Here is a 12,907-nt window from a genome sequence, read left to right on the forward strand (position 1 = left end):
TTTTCAGTCAATCAGATTTTGTCTTCTCCTTCTCTCTAATAAAAATATGTCCTCCCAAAGGAAATTGCCTAATTGGGGTGGAACACAAAGGCAGGAATTTCATTTTCAAGATGTACCGATACACTTCATCTAAGGAGTTTGTTGACTAGATTACATCCCTTTTCAATTAACTGCCATCTTCAGAAGCGGAAACTTAATCCATAGTCATATAGCATGCTCTTGTTTGATGGGGCAAAATGGAAGGCAAAAACAGTGTGAGAAGGGTTGACAATGGCTTTGATGGTGAATGTGGGCAGGGTGGAGAAAAGGAGGTAGGTAAAAGTCAGAAAGTGAAACTGTTGACTAACTCATCGGAAATGGGAACAGCTATGATGAAAAGTCAGTTGCATCCAGCTCTCACTTCTGCCTAACACTTGCCAAACAGTGTTTCATATGGGCAAAGATTGCTATGATGTACCTTTGTGTTCCCTGGATTACTAACTCTAGTCTGATGACCCACAGATAAATCAGCTGCAACCCAGTTATCAGCATGTTTTATTATAGATTTAAAATGCAGACTACTATGTGGAGAAACAGGAAAACAGTATACATTGAAAACAAAAGCTAAAATTATAACATCAGGAAAATGTAAAGGTCACCTGTTGGTAGTCATCCCTCTAGCTGCAGCTGTAGTAACCTCTGCTTGCCCTGAGAAATCACCAGTATGCCAAATTTTTACAATTTCATTTTCTCCCTTAGTCTGCTATGATTATCCCAGGAATGAAGCGGGGGCAGAGAGGAGTCATTAAGGAGAGTTTCACAGTGGTGTGCTGGTGAACTAGCTGTCCAAAAGGAAAATGTGTAGTGTTTGCCAATTTACATGGTATAAATACTCCCACCATAGCCAATTTCAAGAATGCCTATAGTTAATAACTAAAGTGCAACATTCCTGAAAATTTAATAATATGTGCTTATAAGCTAGCACCAGCCCACTCCAGCACACATTGCTTATAACACAACAAAGATCAAGAACACCAAGATTTTATAAGTATACATATATATACACACACACATATACACACACACACACACACACACACACATATGTATGACACACTTTAATTTCCTGAGAAGATATGCAAATGCAACAGAAACAAGCTCTCCAAGTCTTTGGCCCTGTAGCTACTCAGCAGATGTTTTTTTAAAAAGTCATACTAAGAAACAACTTGGCCTCAGGCTTAGCATGCTCCTGAGCAATTTTTGTTAAACAAAATACAAAAAAAACCTCTTTTAAATAGCTTTACATGTAATATTATTTAACATAATGCAGCTTTTCACAAATATCCATAAATATTTTAAATTTGTTTACAATGTAATATTATATACCTTTCAACAAGAACCTGCAAGTAGCTAATTTAAGAGTCCAAAAATTTTGAATTAGTGCTATTTATTATTTTAGAAGTTAGCACATTTGACTAAGATGGGCCCTGCAAAGTGAAGAGGGGAATTTGGTTGGGATAAGGCCTGAACAGCATCCTGGATCTCCCTGATTCAGGCAGGAAAAAAAAAAAAAGTGTGCTGGTAAAGGAAAGATCTGTTGTAGCTTCACTCTGCTCACCTTGGGCTAAAGGGGAATATGCTTCCTGAAAAGTGAATTCGCTAAGTTTTAGAGTCTTATAACACGATAGCAGAAATAACAATTCTAAAGCTGAGACAGTGCAATGCAGGGGACTACCCATTGCCTCTTGTAGTCACTTGTCCTATGAGTTGAGGAAAGTTGGCTATGCTATGCTATCACATTCTCATCACTAAAATTTTCCCCCAAATGCCTGCCCAATTAACTTCATAGAATTGCTAACTGTTTTACGAAAGCACTTTGCAAACTGTGGAAAGCTAGCTAAAAATACTAAATCATTACATGACATAATCCAGTAATGATAATACCATTCTGGGGTTAAACCTAATGATTACTAATGGTTACTCTTTCTTTACAATTAGCAATGTTTAGACACACACACCAACAGTAAGGTCTCACAAAGCTCTACGTGAGGGTTCGGAATGACTCCTTTGATAAGGCTTTTTAAAGCACCCTGCATCCTGAGGAAGATAAAACCAAGAGAAATTTCCAGATAGCGTACATTCCATTTTATGCCACTTGTACCTCTATTCCAATAGTTCTCAGATTGTTCTTTATCTTCTAACACCACCATATCTAAAGTAGGGTATGGTAGGCATATCTGTGGCCATCCTATCAGTCTACTTTTTATTGGGAGGGTCTCAGAAGATGGGAGTATGAGAAGAATGAATTACAGCAGCCCAAGAATATGAGAACAAAGCCAGGCTACTGCCCCAGATCCTTTTTGCATACCAGGTAAATCTTCCATGGGAATAGAACTCCATTTTTCCACTCATGAATTCAAGAATTAGATAAAGATTCTTTGAAAAGCACATGTCCTCTGTCATCCATATTTGTTTTATCATGGATTAATGAAGTATCTCTGCAGATCCAACCAAAAGTCTTTGGCTCTTCCCCTGAGTCTCTTTCAGATAGGCATGATAGATGAAAATTCACGTGCAGAGGAGTTCTGTTTGTGTTGATTTTTGTAGACAGACAAACTCTAGAAATTGAATATCTTCTCCCTCCAATCCACCCACTGGCACCTCTACATGTGCTGAAGGGAATGAGGAGATCAAATCAAGTCTCTAGGAGATGAATTGGGGATTTGCTAGTAAAATGATACCCCAGTATGTATTATTTTTTAGAACCTGATGCTCAGAGTTGAATATCAAGTCTATGGTGTCCCCAACATGCAATTCATAAGTCCCTCCTACATTTTGGATTTTAGATTTGTTTGTTAGAGTTTGTATCATGTCTTTGTTTTTATACAGCCGCACCTCAAAAGGAGCTACATCATTGTAGTTTGCATTGGGAGCCACTTGGCCATAAATTAAATATAAGCCATTCTGAAGTATCTCCAGCTTCCAGTCAGACACCTTATTCACGCAAGGAGGTTCAGAAGATGCCATTTGCCATTTTGAGGGTAATGGTCCTATAAGAAATATACAAGGATAAAAAAGATGAAAGCATAGTTATTTCATTATTTCATCCTTTTCCAGATTGTAGTTAATTATTTACCACATACATGTTGTTTCTTTACCTGATCTACACTAGTTCTCTTCAAGCAGAATTTTTCTATTTTAAGTACCTATCTACTCCTTGTTTTAGAGAAATTGCAAATCCAAAGAGTATTTCTTGCTTGGAGCAAGAATTCTAAGGAAAAGAATTTGGAATAGAAAAATGACTTAAGTGACTTCGCATCTCTTGTTGATTAATATTTGTGGGAAAAAGAAAGGAGAAGAAAAGACTAATGGAGAAAGAAATCACAAGCCAAAATTTTGAAAACCAGGGTTGGCAGTCCATGCCTTTCCAGGCATTTTCGGTGTAAATACCACTGGCTGTTTATCACTTTATCAGTGTGGCTTTCCTTAATTATGCTATATTAAAAAGTGTTCTCCTATCATTCCCTCATTTTACCTTGCTTGAGTTTTCTTCATAAAGTGTGTCAGTGTCTAGGATGTTATAAACTAAATTGTTCATTTGTTTATTGTCCATCTTGTATCACTTTGAATGTAAAATTTTTTAGGACAAATATATCTCTATTTTGTTCATTCTTGTATTTTCAGCACCTGAAAAAGTCCCTGGTACCTGGTAGATGTTCCATAAATATTTATTGATTGAATGATACTTCCATGTTCCTGAATTAGGTGCTTTGTGTCTAAATTATGGCTGTTCTCCTCAGTTTGTAGGTATATATCATTTAAGACCTACTTAGGATTCATTAAATAAATCCCCCAAAAATAGCTAATTGTAAATTTATGAGTTTATAAATAGAAATAACTTGACTATTTAAATATAAGGATCCCTAGTGCAATACTGTCCCAAATGGTAAAGAAAAGGTAAAGACCTAATCATTCATTTTCATTAGCACATATGAAACTTAGATGTTTGCCTAACATTACTTGGTTTTGCACAGCAGTGTGATCTCACAGCCCCGGGAGGTGCTTTTACCACCCAGAATGCTTATCTGTTCTGCAATTCTCCATAATTTTTGTCCTTTGTCCCATAATTAAAAAGAAAACTTGATGAGGAAACACCCTGGAAGAGGTAACATTTTTACTTCAATGCTCATTCATATGAATGACTAATATAAGACTCTGAAGGTAGATTCTGGAGGAGAATGAAAGAGCGATCACTAGAACAAAAGACAAAGCCACCCAGTATCGCCAATGAGCTCGGAGCCCAGTAAATTTCTTCTTCCTTGACATGTAATAGGCAATAGGCAGGTCACCAGGAAGAAGTGTCATTGGTTCTCCCATTTAATTCTGTGAAAGGGGGTCATTTAAAGACCACCTTAGCATCACTTGAGTTTCTCAACTTTTACCACATCAAGGCATAATTTCACACATGCCATGCATTCCATTCCACTTATGGGCAAAACAAAAACAAAACACAAAGAAAGAGACAGGCAAAAGGACATTTTCTAATTCCCACAAGCCAAGGAAACCTACTGGTTTAAACTATATAGGAACACAGGGGTTGCAGAGTTAACTCTAGAAATGGTCTGTTCTCAACTGAAAATGTATGTTTGGCCTGAAACCTATAAACAACTTTAAAAAAAATGTATTTATCTGAAATTTTCCATGTATTCTAAGAATCTAAGGCTCAGTGTAACTGTAAACTGGTGTGTTTTCTAAGCAAATATCAGGTGACCACAAGGGAAAATGACTCAGAAGCTAAGCTTAGAAGAGAAAATAGTAGAGGAAGTGGCCACTTTTCCAACTCTCATTGCTCTTCTATACATTTAGAAACAACAATGGCACTCTCTCACATACTCCATTGGACATTAGCAATATGTGAAACATGAGAAAGACTTTAAGGAAAGGTTGTAGAAATCTGAAACTTGTTGTGTTTATTAAAACACAGAATTAAAAGGAGATTCCCGGATCTCAGATTCATAGGCCAGTAAGAGAGATGCTCATTCCTGGCCAGAGATGCAGCCTTCAACATAAGCTTTATCAGGGCATGGGCTTCTTTTGCCTGGTTTACCTCTGAAAGCCTCAGCTCTTGGGCAACTGCCCAGTACATGATAAGTAATTATACATAGTAGCTCAGAAATGAATAAAAGAAAATACAGGTTTTCTTGAGATCACTGACACCTGCCTTCTTGCATCAAAAACTAAGAAAAGTAAAAGACATGCAAGATAGGTTACTCACCAAACTTAGCCATACAGGGCTCCTTAGCAGTCTGTTGGGGAAATAAAAGATGAATTGATTAGGATGATGACAGTGTCATTAATTTTTTTGATTGATTTATTTAGAGCTTTGAATTCCTGAAGCAAACTAGTGTTCTATAACCATAAAAAAAATCCTTCCCTTCACCATGTCTCAGCCCTCTCAGCCTCCCTTTAAAGTTGAGTGGCTCCATCCTTTACCTTTTATTACCTAGCTTCCCTTTTAGGTCTTTTAGACAAAGGTCAAGATCTCATTCCATTACCTAATCTATACCTACAGGACAACTATTTGATATCGGACCCCCCCCCCAACCTTGGGCTCTAAAAGTTTTTCAACAAAATAGCAGTTTCCACACCCCAGTGACTGCACAAGGTGATCTGTTGGCATGTGAAAGGAAAATAGTGAAGCTTCTATTTATGTTTATTTTATTTAAAACAGTAAATTAAGCCCTAGAAATATTTACAACTCAGATTGATGAAACCACCCATGTATAATATTCAGATAACTACATGTCATATACAGTATCTGAGATACCCTGAAAAACAGTTCCAAGTTTCAGACTACTGCAATGTACGGCAGTTCACATGCTACAAGATGCCATCAGTGTGTGGTTAATTTTACAAACACAAGTAGTTAATGCTAAATGCTCAAAAATACGTTGTAGTAAATTCAGGCATAACCACAAACATTTTTTGTATCACCCAAAGGTTATTGGTTTCCTAATGGCAAAGTGCTTAAAAGACTTTTTGAACTTAAACGTGTTGCACACTTTCCTTTTGTAGGATTTCTCTGGCTGCTATGCTAGGAACAAATTAAACAGAGGCAAGGGCAAATGTAGTGAGACTAGCTAAGAGATCATTACAGTCATTCATCTAGGCAAGAGAGCATGGTGTCTCTGACCAAGGTGCTAGCTCTGTAGATGGTGATACTTGGTTGGAAAATAGAGCCAACAGAAGTTCCTGACATGGATATGGGGTAGGGAATGAGAAGAAACAAAGATGACTCCAGTATTTTAGGCCTGCATAATTGGAAAGATAAAGTTGTTATTCACTAAAATGGATAAGATGTAAGAGGAATAAATGGGGAGGGGAACAATGATGAGTTTGGTTGTGGACATATTAGTTTGTGATGCTTATTATAAATCCAAGTAAGTGTGTCAAGCAGGCTGAAATTTAAGGAGCTCTGGTGATATACATTTAAGAGTCTTAAGCTCATAGTTGATGTTTTAAGCTGTGAGATTGTATGAGGCCATCATGTTAGTGGGTGTAGATGGAGAGGAACACTGGGGCGTTGTGATGTTTAGAGGTCGGAGAATGAGAAAGAACAAGCAAGGGACAATAGAAAGGAAAAGCTGAGTCTGAAAGGAAACTAGGAGAGTCTGATGTTTGGAAGCCAAGAAAAGAAAGTATTTCATGAAGGACGAGTGATCAGCTGGTGTCAAATGCTGTTGATAGATCAAGTAAGAAGAGTACAGTGAATTGACTGATAGATTGAGCAACATGGTAGTCACTGGAGTTCTTGACAAAATTAGTTTCTGTGATATGTGAAGAGGGCAGAAGCTTAGTTAAAATAAATTTAAGGGTAAATGGGACAAGAGAAGTTGGAGGAATTTTGCTGTAGGGAGAGCAGAAAAAAATGAGTGGAGTTTGGATGAGGATGAGAGATCAAAGAGGTTTTTTGTTGTTGTTGTTGTTGTTGTTGTTGTTACGTTTTAATGTGAGAGAAATGACAACACGTTTTTCTATTTCCATTTGATGGAAATGTTTCTGTAAAATGGATGAGGCATAATATGTAAGAGCGAGGAGAGAACTGTTGCAGCAATGTCCCTGAGTAGGCAAGAGAGGATAAGATTTAGTTCATAGATGGCTTGGATAGATGCATGGACAATTTATCCATAGTGACAAGACAGAATAACAGTATACCTGGACACAAATGCCAATGAGTTGTTGATATTGGAACTTCTTTCCTCCGTACTTCTATTTTCTCTTAAAATATGGAGGCAACGTTATCAGTGGAGAGTGAGAATGGGGAAGAGTTATTAGATGTTTGAAGAGAAGCTAAAGGTATGAAATCATCCAGTAGAGGAGAGTGAATGGACTGGGGAAACATGGGCTGTTTCCAGAGCAACAATGAAATCCACTTGAAGGCAGTGGCTGTGAATTTAAAGTAAGACCTTTCAAAAAATTTTATGTTTTTCTTCAGATATATTCAACAGTGAAAGAGACAGAGCAGTTGGATTTAATCAGCATTGGAGGTTTTCCATAGTCGAGCTTTTGTCATTAGAGTATAATGAAGATAGAGAGAAGCAAGTGAGTGAGTTTATGCGAGGGAGGTGTTAAAGCTATAGATCTTGGAATTTAGTTGTGGAAGGAAGGAAAGAGAGGCATCCATCATTGAATGATGGATTGAAAATTAAGTGGTATGACATGATAAGAATATCCAAAGATGTGTTCTTCCATTTTAATCTATATTTGTTTGTCGGGTAATTTTTCAGTCATGATGGTCAAAATCATGAAACAAGGTAAATTAACATATCAAACTTCAAATTGCTGTATCACATAGTGTTAAGCTCAGATTAAAAAATAAAATAAATGCATTCACCACGTTATTAAAATATTTTACTTATTTTAGTAATGTTTATGACATATTAATGATTATAGAAAATATAACATTTTGGTGAAAGCAAAATGGTTTTGCATTGTGAGAGTTACATTGAATATATTATTTGGCTCACCCTTATAAATATATATTTTGTGTATCTCTTTAGTGTACATATTATTAGTACTTGTATATAGTATAATAATTAGCATACAAATGTTGGGAATTATACTGATAATATGTTATTGAAAGGGAGGTGCAATTAAAAAGTCTGAAAGCCACTATTCTAGGAAATAAATTTTTTGATTCCCTACACTTGTTTTTTTTTGTTGTTGTTGTTGTTGTTGTTGTTTTTTGAGACAGGGTCTCATTCCGTTGCCCAGGCTGGAGTGCAGTGGTGTTATCTCAGTTCACTACAGCCTCATCCTCCTGGACTCAACCAATTCTCCCACGTCAGCCCCCTGAGTAGCTGGGACTACAGGTGCATGCCACCAAGCCCAGCTATTTTTTTTGTATTTTTTTGTAGAGACAGGGTTTTGCCATGTTGCCCAGGCTGGTCTCAAACTCTTGACCTCAAGCAATCTACCCGCCTCAGCCTCCCAAAGTGCTGGGATTATAGGCGTGAGCCACTGTGCCTGGCCTCTTGCAATTATTTCATCCTCATTTTGGTGTTTCCTGGAGGAGATGTTGAAATTCAATTTAGTTCAACCCATGATAGGGACGTGACAAAGACTCCCTTAACCCCAATTTCCTCATCTATAAAATGGGAGAAATAATAGCACCTAGCTTGTTGAAGTTGTTGGGGTTAAATGAGGTCGTTTTTAATAAGGGCTTTGCCTAGATATCCTGCCTGGACCTGTTCAATAAATATTAGCTGTTTGGGTGATGATGGTGATTGTAATGAAGAATTGAACTACAATTTAAGCATCCATATTTCCAACATTGTACAGCATTGTAAGCATGAGAAACAAATGTAATTTTTGGTCCTTGCTTCTCAAGAAGTTTATAATCTTTCTAGAAAGACATGATTACACACCCAAAGCAATTTGGTAACAATCTAAATATGAATGAGTGCCAAAATACGTGCCACAGATAGTATCTGCACCATCTACTAGCATGTATGAGATGTGCTCAGAGAAACCTAAGCTATAGACAACCTAAGTCCAAACTAATTTCCAGAGTCAGAAATTCCGTATAATATACTGCAGGCTGCTTTATGTCTATTTAGCGCTACAGAGACCATCACTGTGATACTCTCTAATTATTGCCACCACTAAAAATCCATCTAATTGCAAAATCATAAATTTGGCTCTGAGATATAGTGTTTGATTGAGAGAGTGATATAGGTAGGCAAAGACTATCCATATTGTTAAATGGTCTTGTTAAATTTTTGCCCATTATTATCTCATTAATAGTAATGGGGCAAATATTAATCACTCCCCTCTACTGGGAGCTACTTTATGTCAGATACTCTACTGTCTCATTAATCCTTAGCACAACTCTACAAAAATTAGGTTGCTCATTTTGCAGATGAGGAAATGAGGATGAGAGGGATTAAGTAACTAGCCTAAGGTCATGCAGCCAATAAAAGGCAAGAATGAGATCTACACCCAGCCTGTCTGGGTCAACACTCTCACCTCTACCACTCTGTGGGGTAAGTTTCTATTTATAATTCTGCTGATGTTTGGAAGTAGTAAATACCCACTTTTAAAGACACATATGGGTTCGTTATTTTTGCTTAGAAGGATCAGTTGCTTTTGTAACCTCTTCTTGATTTAAGGCTAGATTTACGTAGTTCGGCTCAAAATGGCCAAAACAATCATTCTCTCTCCAAACCAACCCTAATCAAATCATCAGTGAAAATAAAATCTGCTCTGCTTTTAAGTATAAGTACAACTTCCCCTTCTGAAAGTATCCTTCATTTTGCTGAAGTTCAGACTCTGCTGAACATTTGATTTCTTAGTGATAATTCCTGTGAGATTATTTTCACTGAGGGATTGACCAAACTCCTTGGACTCACAGCTATCCTTTTAGTTAAATATTTTCTCAAAGAAGAGAGAAAAAAAGAAAAAAATTGACCCAAGGAGCCAAGCTTCCCATCTAACACTTTTTAAAGTGTTACACTTTCTTTTAAGTGTACACTTTTTAAAGTAGTGTCTAGACAATCTGGAAAGTGGGACTTTGTATGTAAAAACTAGAGTGGAGACCAAAATAAAACTTCACGGTTCATGGGTATTGTGACAATGTGGAAGTGGCCACATCATAATGAATCACTATCTGCCAGCCTCTCAGACTTCTTTTCCAGAGATATTTATTTGTGGCCAATAGGGAAAGGGAAGTACAGGTAAGTGGAAAGTGAAATGCAGAAGCTAATATCATGTATGGTTGGCCAGGCCACTGGCTTTTCCCATAGAAACAAATCCTGCAAGTGTCCTGTCAGAACAATATTCTAAAAACATTTTATACTTCCCCAAATTTGAAACAAACTCTGGGTTATCTTTAGAGGTAGAACATTTCATTGAGAAACTGGATCTAGGAGAGAGAAACCAGAATCAGAGCTCAAACACATGGGATTAATCCAGTTTGATTCTGAAGAGAGGTGTCCCAGATGATCTGGCATTATTAGACTTTCTCTTTCCCTTTGCAAGAACTGCTGGGTGCCTTTGGGAAAGGCTTCTGTGTATTCATTCCTGAGTCATATGTAGGAACTGATGATGCTTATATTCAGTGTTCTTCAGGGTTATCTGGCTAATTAATCTTATAATTTTTAGAAGAAAGAAGCACTTCCAAATTTAAGTTATTGCTATTCTCACCCTTCCTCTTCTTCAGAAATCTAGACACTAAGAATTTCTGACAATTCTTTCTTTCAACTTCACTGACCCAGAAAGTTCACACTTCTGCTTCATACATTTCTTGAGAGAGCAGGGTTGTAATTAGAAATGCCTCTGTTGCACATAAGCCTTGTATACAGTTATGGAATACAAATTAATGGGCTACTGTGGAAAAATTGGCCAAAGCTATACCTACTCTAAATTAATATCAATAGGGGACTGCTTCCTCCTGCATCTTTTCTCAATTACTTTTACTTATCTTAAGTGGTAGAACTATATCTTTGAAATCTTTGCTGGTCAGTTCCCTTAAGAAAAGTGTTTCTGCAGTCACATTTCAACTCTTTCTCAGATGGACATATGCCACTTTATTCTCCCCAAAACTTAGAGTCTTCAAATTTAGCCAGAAATAGGCTAAATCCTGAAATAAATAAAGCATTTCTTATTTTCTTTTTGATCAGTGCTACGTAGTTAACTGTGAGGAAAGATTTTTTAGTAAAGAACAAAACTAATCTCCATTCCCAGTGTACCATCCCATTCTCTAGGCCCACAGCTTGGCCTGCATCTCAATGGGAAATTCCTGACAAGCATCAGGGGCTTCCCAAATAGATATGGGCTTTCTCATTCCTCCATGAAGTCTTCCCTGATCAACTCAATCTAAAGTCATTGTTCCCTGCTTTTGAGTGACTTAGGCATTTATTCTTCATACTACCCTTAAATAAATTCTTGATCATGACATTTTATAGCTAGAAGAAACATCATAATAAATCCATTCCCCTACCACCAGTTTTTTTAGATAAAGAAGCTGCAAACTAGAGAGATTAAATGTCTTTATCAAATTTATACAGCTGGTTATTAGGAGACCCAGAACCAGAATCCAGATCTTCTTACACCTAGCTCAGGGCCACTTCCCTCCTCAAAGACACACAAACCACCTGTCATTTACTTAATCCTGTCTTTCACTATTTTTTTAAGTCTTTTCCATAAATAAGACTATAGCTTGCATCCCATTCCTTGATATTCATTCATATTTTTACCTTTTTTATTCCACCAAGAGCTATAGCAGAGGGAAGGAAAAATACTCCACAGGCCCCTGTCAATTGGCTTAACCAGTTCTCTCTATCTAACAGAGTTCTGCAGCTAACATTTAGCATTTTCTGATACCTTTTATCTCAAAACCTTTAGATAAACTTCAAACGCCATGTCATGACAATATTAGAATTGTATTTACATTATGTATACACATCTCTTCCTTCCAACTATTGCTAACAATACTGAGTGACAATGATAACAACTAGAAAAACAAATAAATAGAGGATTATAGCAAATAGTAACCTTAGGTACAATTGCCTCCTTACCTCTAATTGGAGAAAAATAAAGATTAGCCAACTGAAGGAGCAAAGAAATAGCAACATAACTATTGAGCAAAAGAGCCACAGCTTCCAGGATGATCTCTGAGCTCCTTGAGTTCTTGAATGGCTTAAAGGCATATTTTCCAAGTGGCTCAAACACATTTTTGGAGAAATGAGAGCTGTGGAAAACAAAAATTCACAAGTGATGGGTGAAGGATGCAATGTCATGTTTTGTAGCAATATGGTAATTAGTAGTGGGTGTGGAAGGCGGAGTTTTCCTTCTGTCACTGTGTTAGAAAATGATACTTATAACTTAAGTGCTGACTCTCATTTGGCACCAGATCAAATACAACAAAAGGAACGGAAGGCTGAAAGCCAACACAAACTCAGAACATAAAAAAAAAAGCACAAGGGAAGTTCAGAGGGGAAAAAAATTTCTTTCCTAAATCAAACGGCAGTACAGTGCACGTGTAGAGGAGGCTTGGGAGAATAAAGTGGTGTGCTCTCATCTAAGAAAGTATTCCAGATTATTTCTAGATAAGAAAATCACTTTTTATAAGAAAAAATAAAGTTTGAGATTAATCCCCCTACCATACTCCAGATATCATGTACATGAGCGGCAGAGTGTTAGGAAGTTGGAGAGGCTAGGATCTCTAGTTTGGAAAAAATAGAGTTTTAATCAAGTCATCATCTTGTTTACCTTAAATACCCACAATTTTTATTTGTCAATTATACTTCAGTAAACCTGGAAAAATAAAATCTATACTCACAAAAATGTTTCATCAATTTCTAGTGTATAGAATGCGTTCATTCTGAGTCTCTAGAAAATATCAAGTGTATTACAAGAATTTAATAAA

The 12,907-nt window shown here is 36.9% G+C and overlaps 1 protein-coding gene across 1 annotated transcript; it reads right to left on the reverse strand.

Annotated features, from left to right (window-relative positions):
* Positions 1-517: 517 nt before the first annotated feature.
* Positions 518-12,257, reverse strand: TNFSF18 (TNF superfamily member 18). Its single transcript, NM_005092.4, has 3 exons — positions 12,057-12,257; positions 5,255-5,285; positions 518-3,029 (listed from the first exon to the last, which is right to left on the reverse strand). The coding sequence occupies exons 1-3, from the start codon at positions 12,210-12,212 to the stop codon at positions 2,683-2,685; spliced, it is 534 nt and encodes a 177-aa protein (NP_005083.3). The 5' UTR covers positions 12,213-12,257; the 3' UTR covers positions 518-2,682.
* Positions 12,258-12,907: the final 650 nt, after the last annotated feature.

Source organism: Homo sapiens, chromosome 1 (assembly GCF_000001405.40).
Source record: "Homo sapiens chromosome 1, GRCh38.p14 Primary Assembly".
Taxonomy (NCBI): Eukaryota; Metazoa; Chordata; class Mammalia; order Primates; family Hominidae; genus Homo; species Homo sapiens.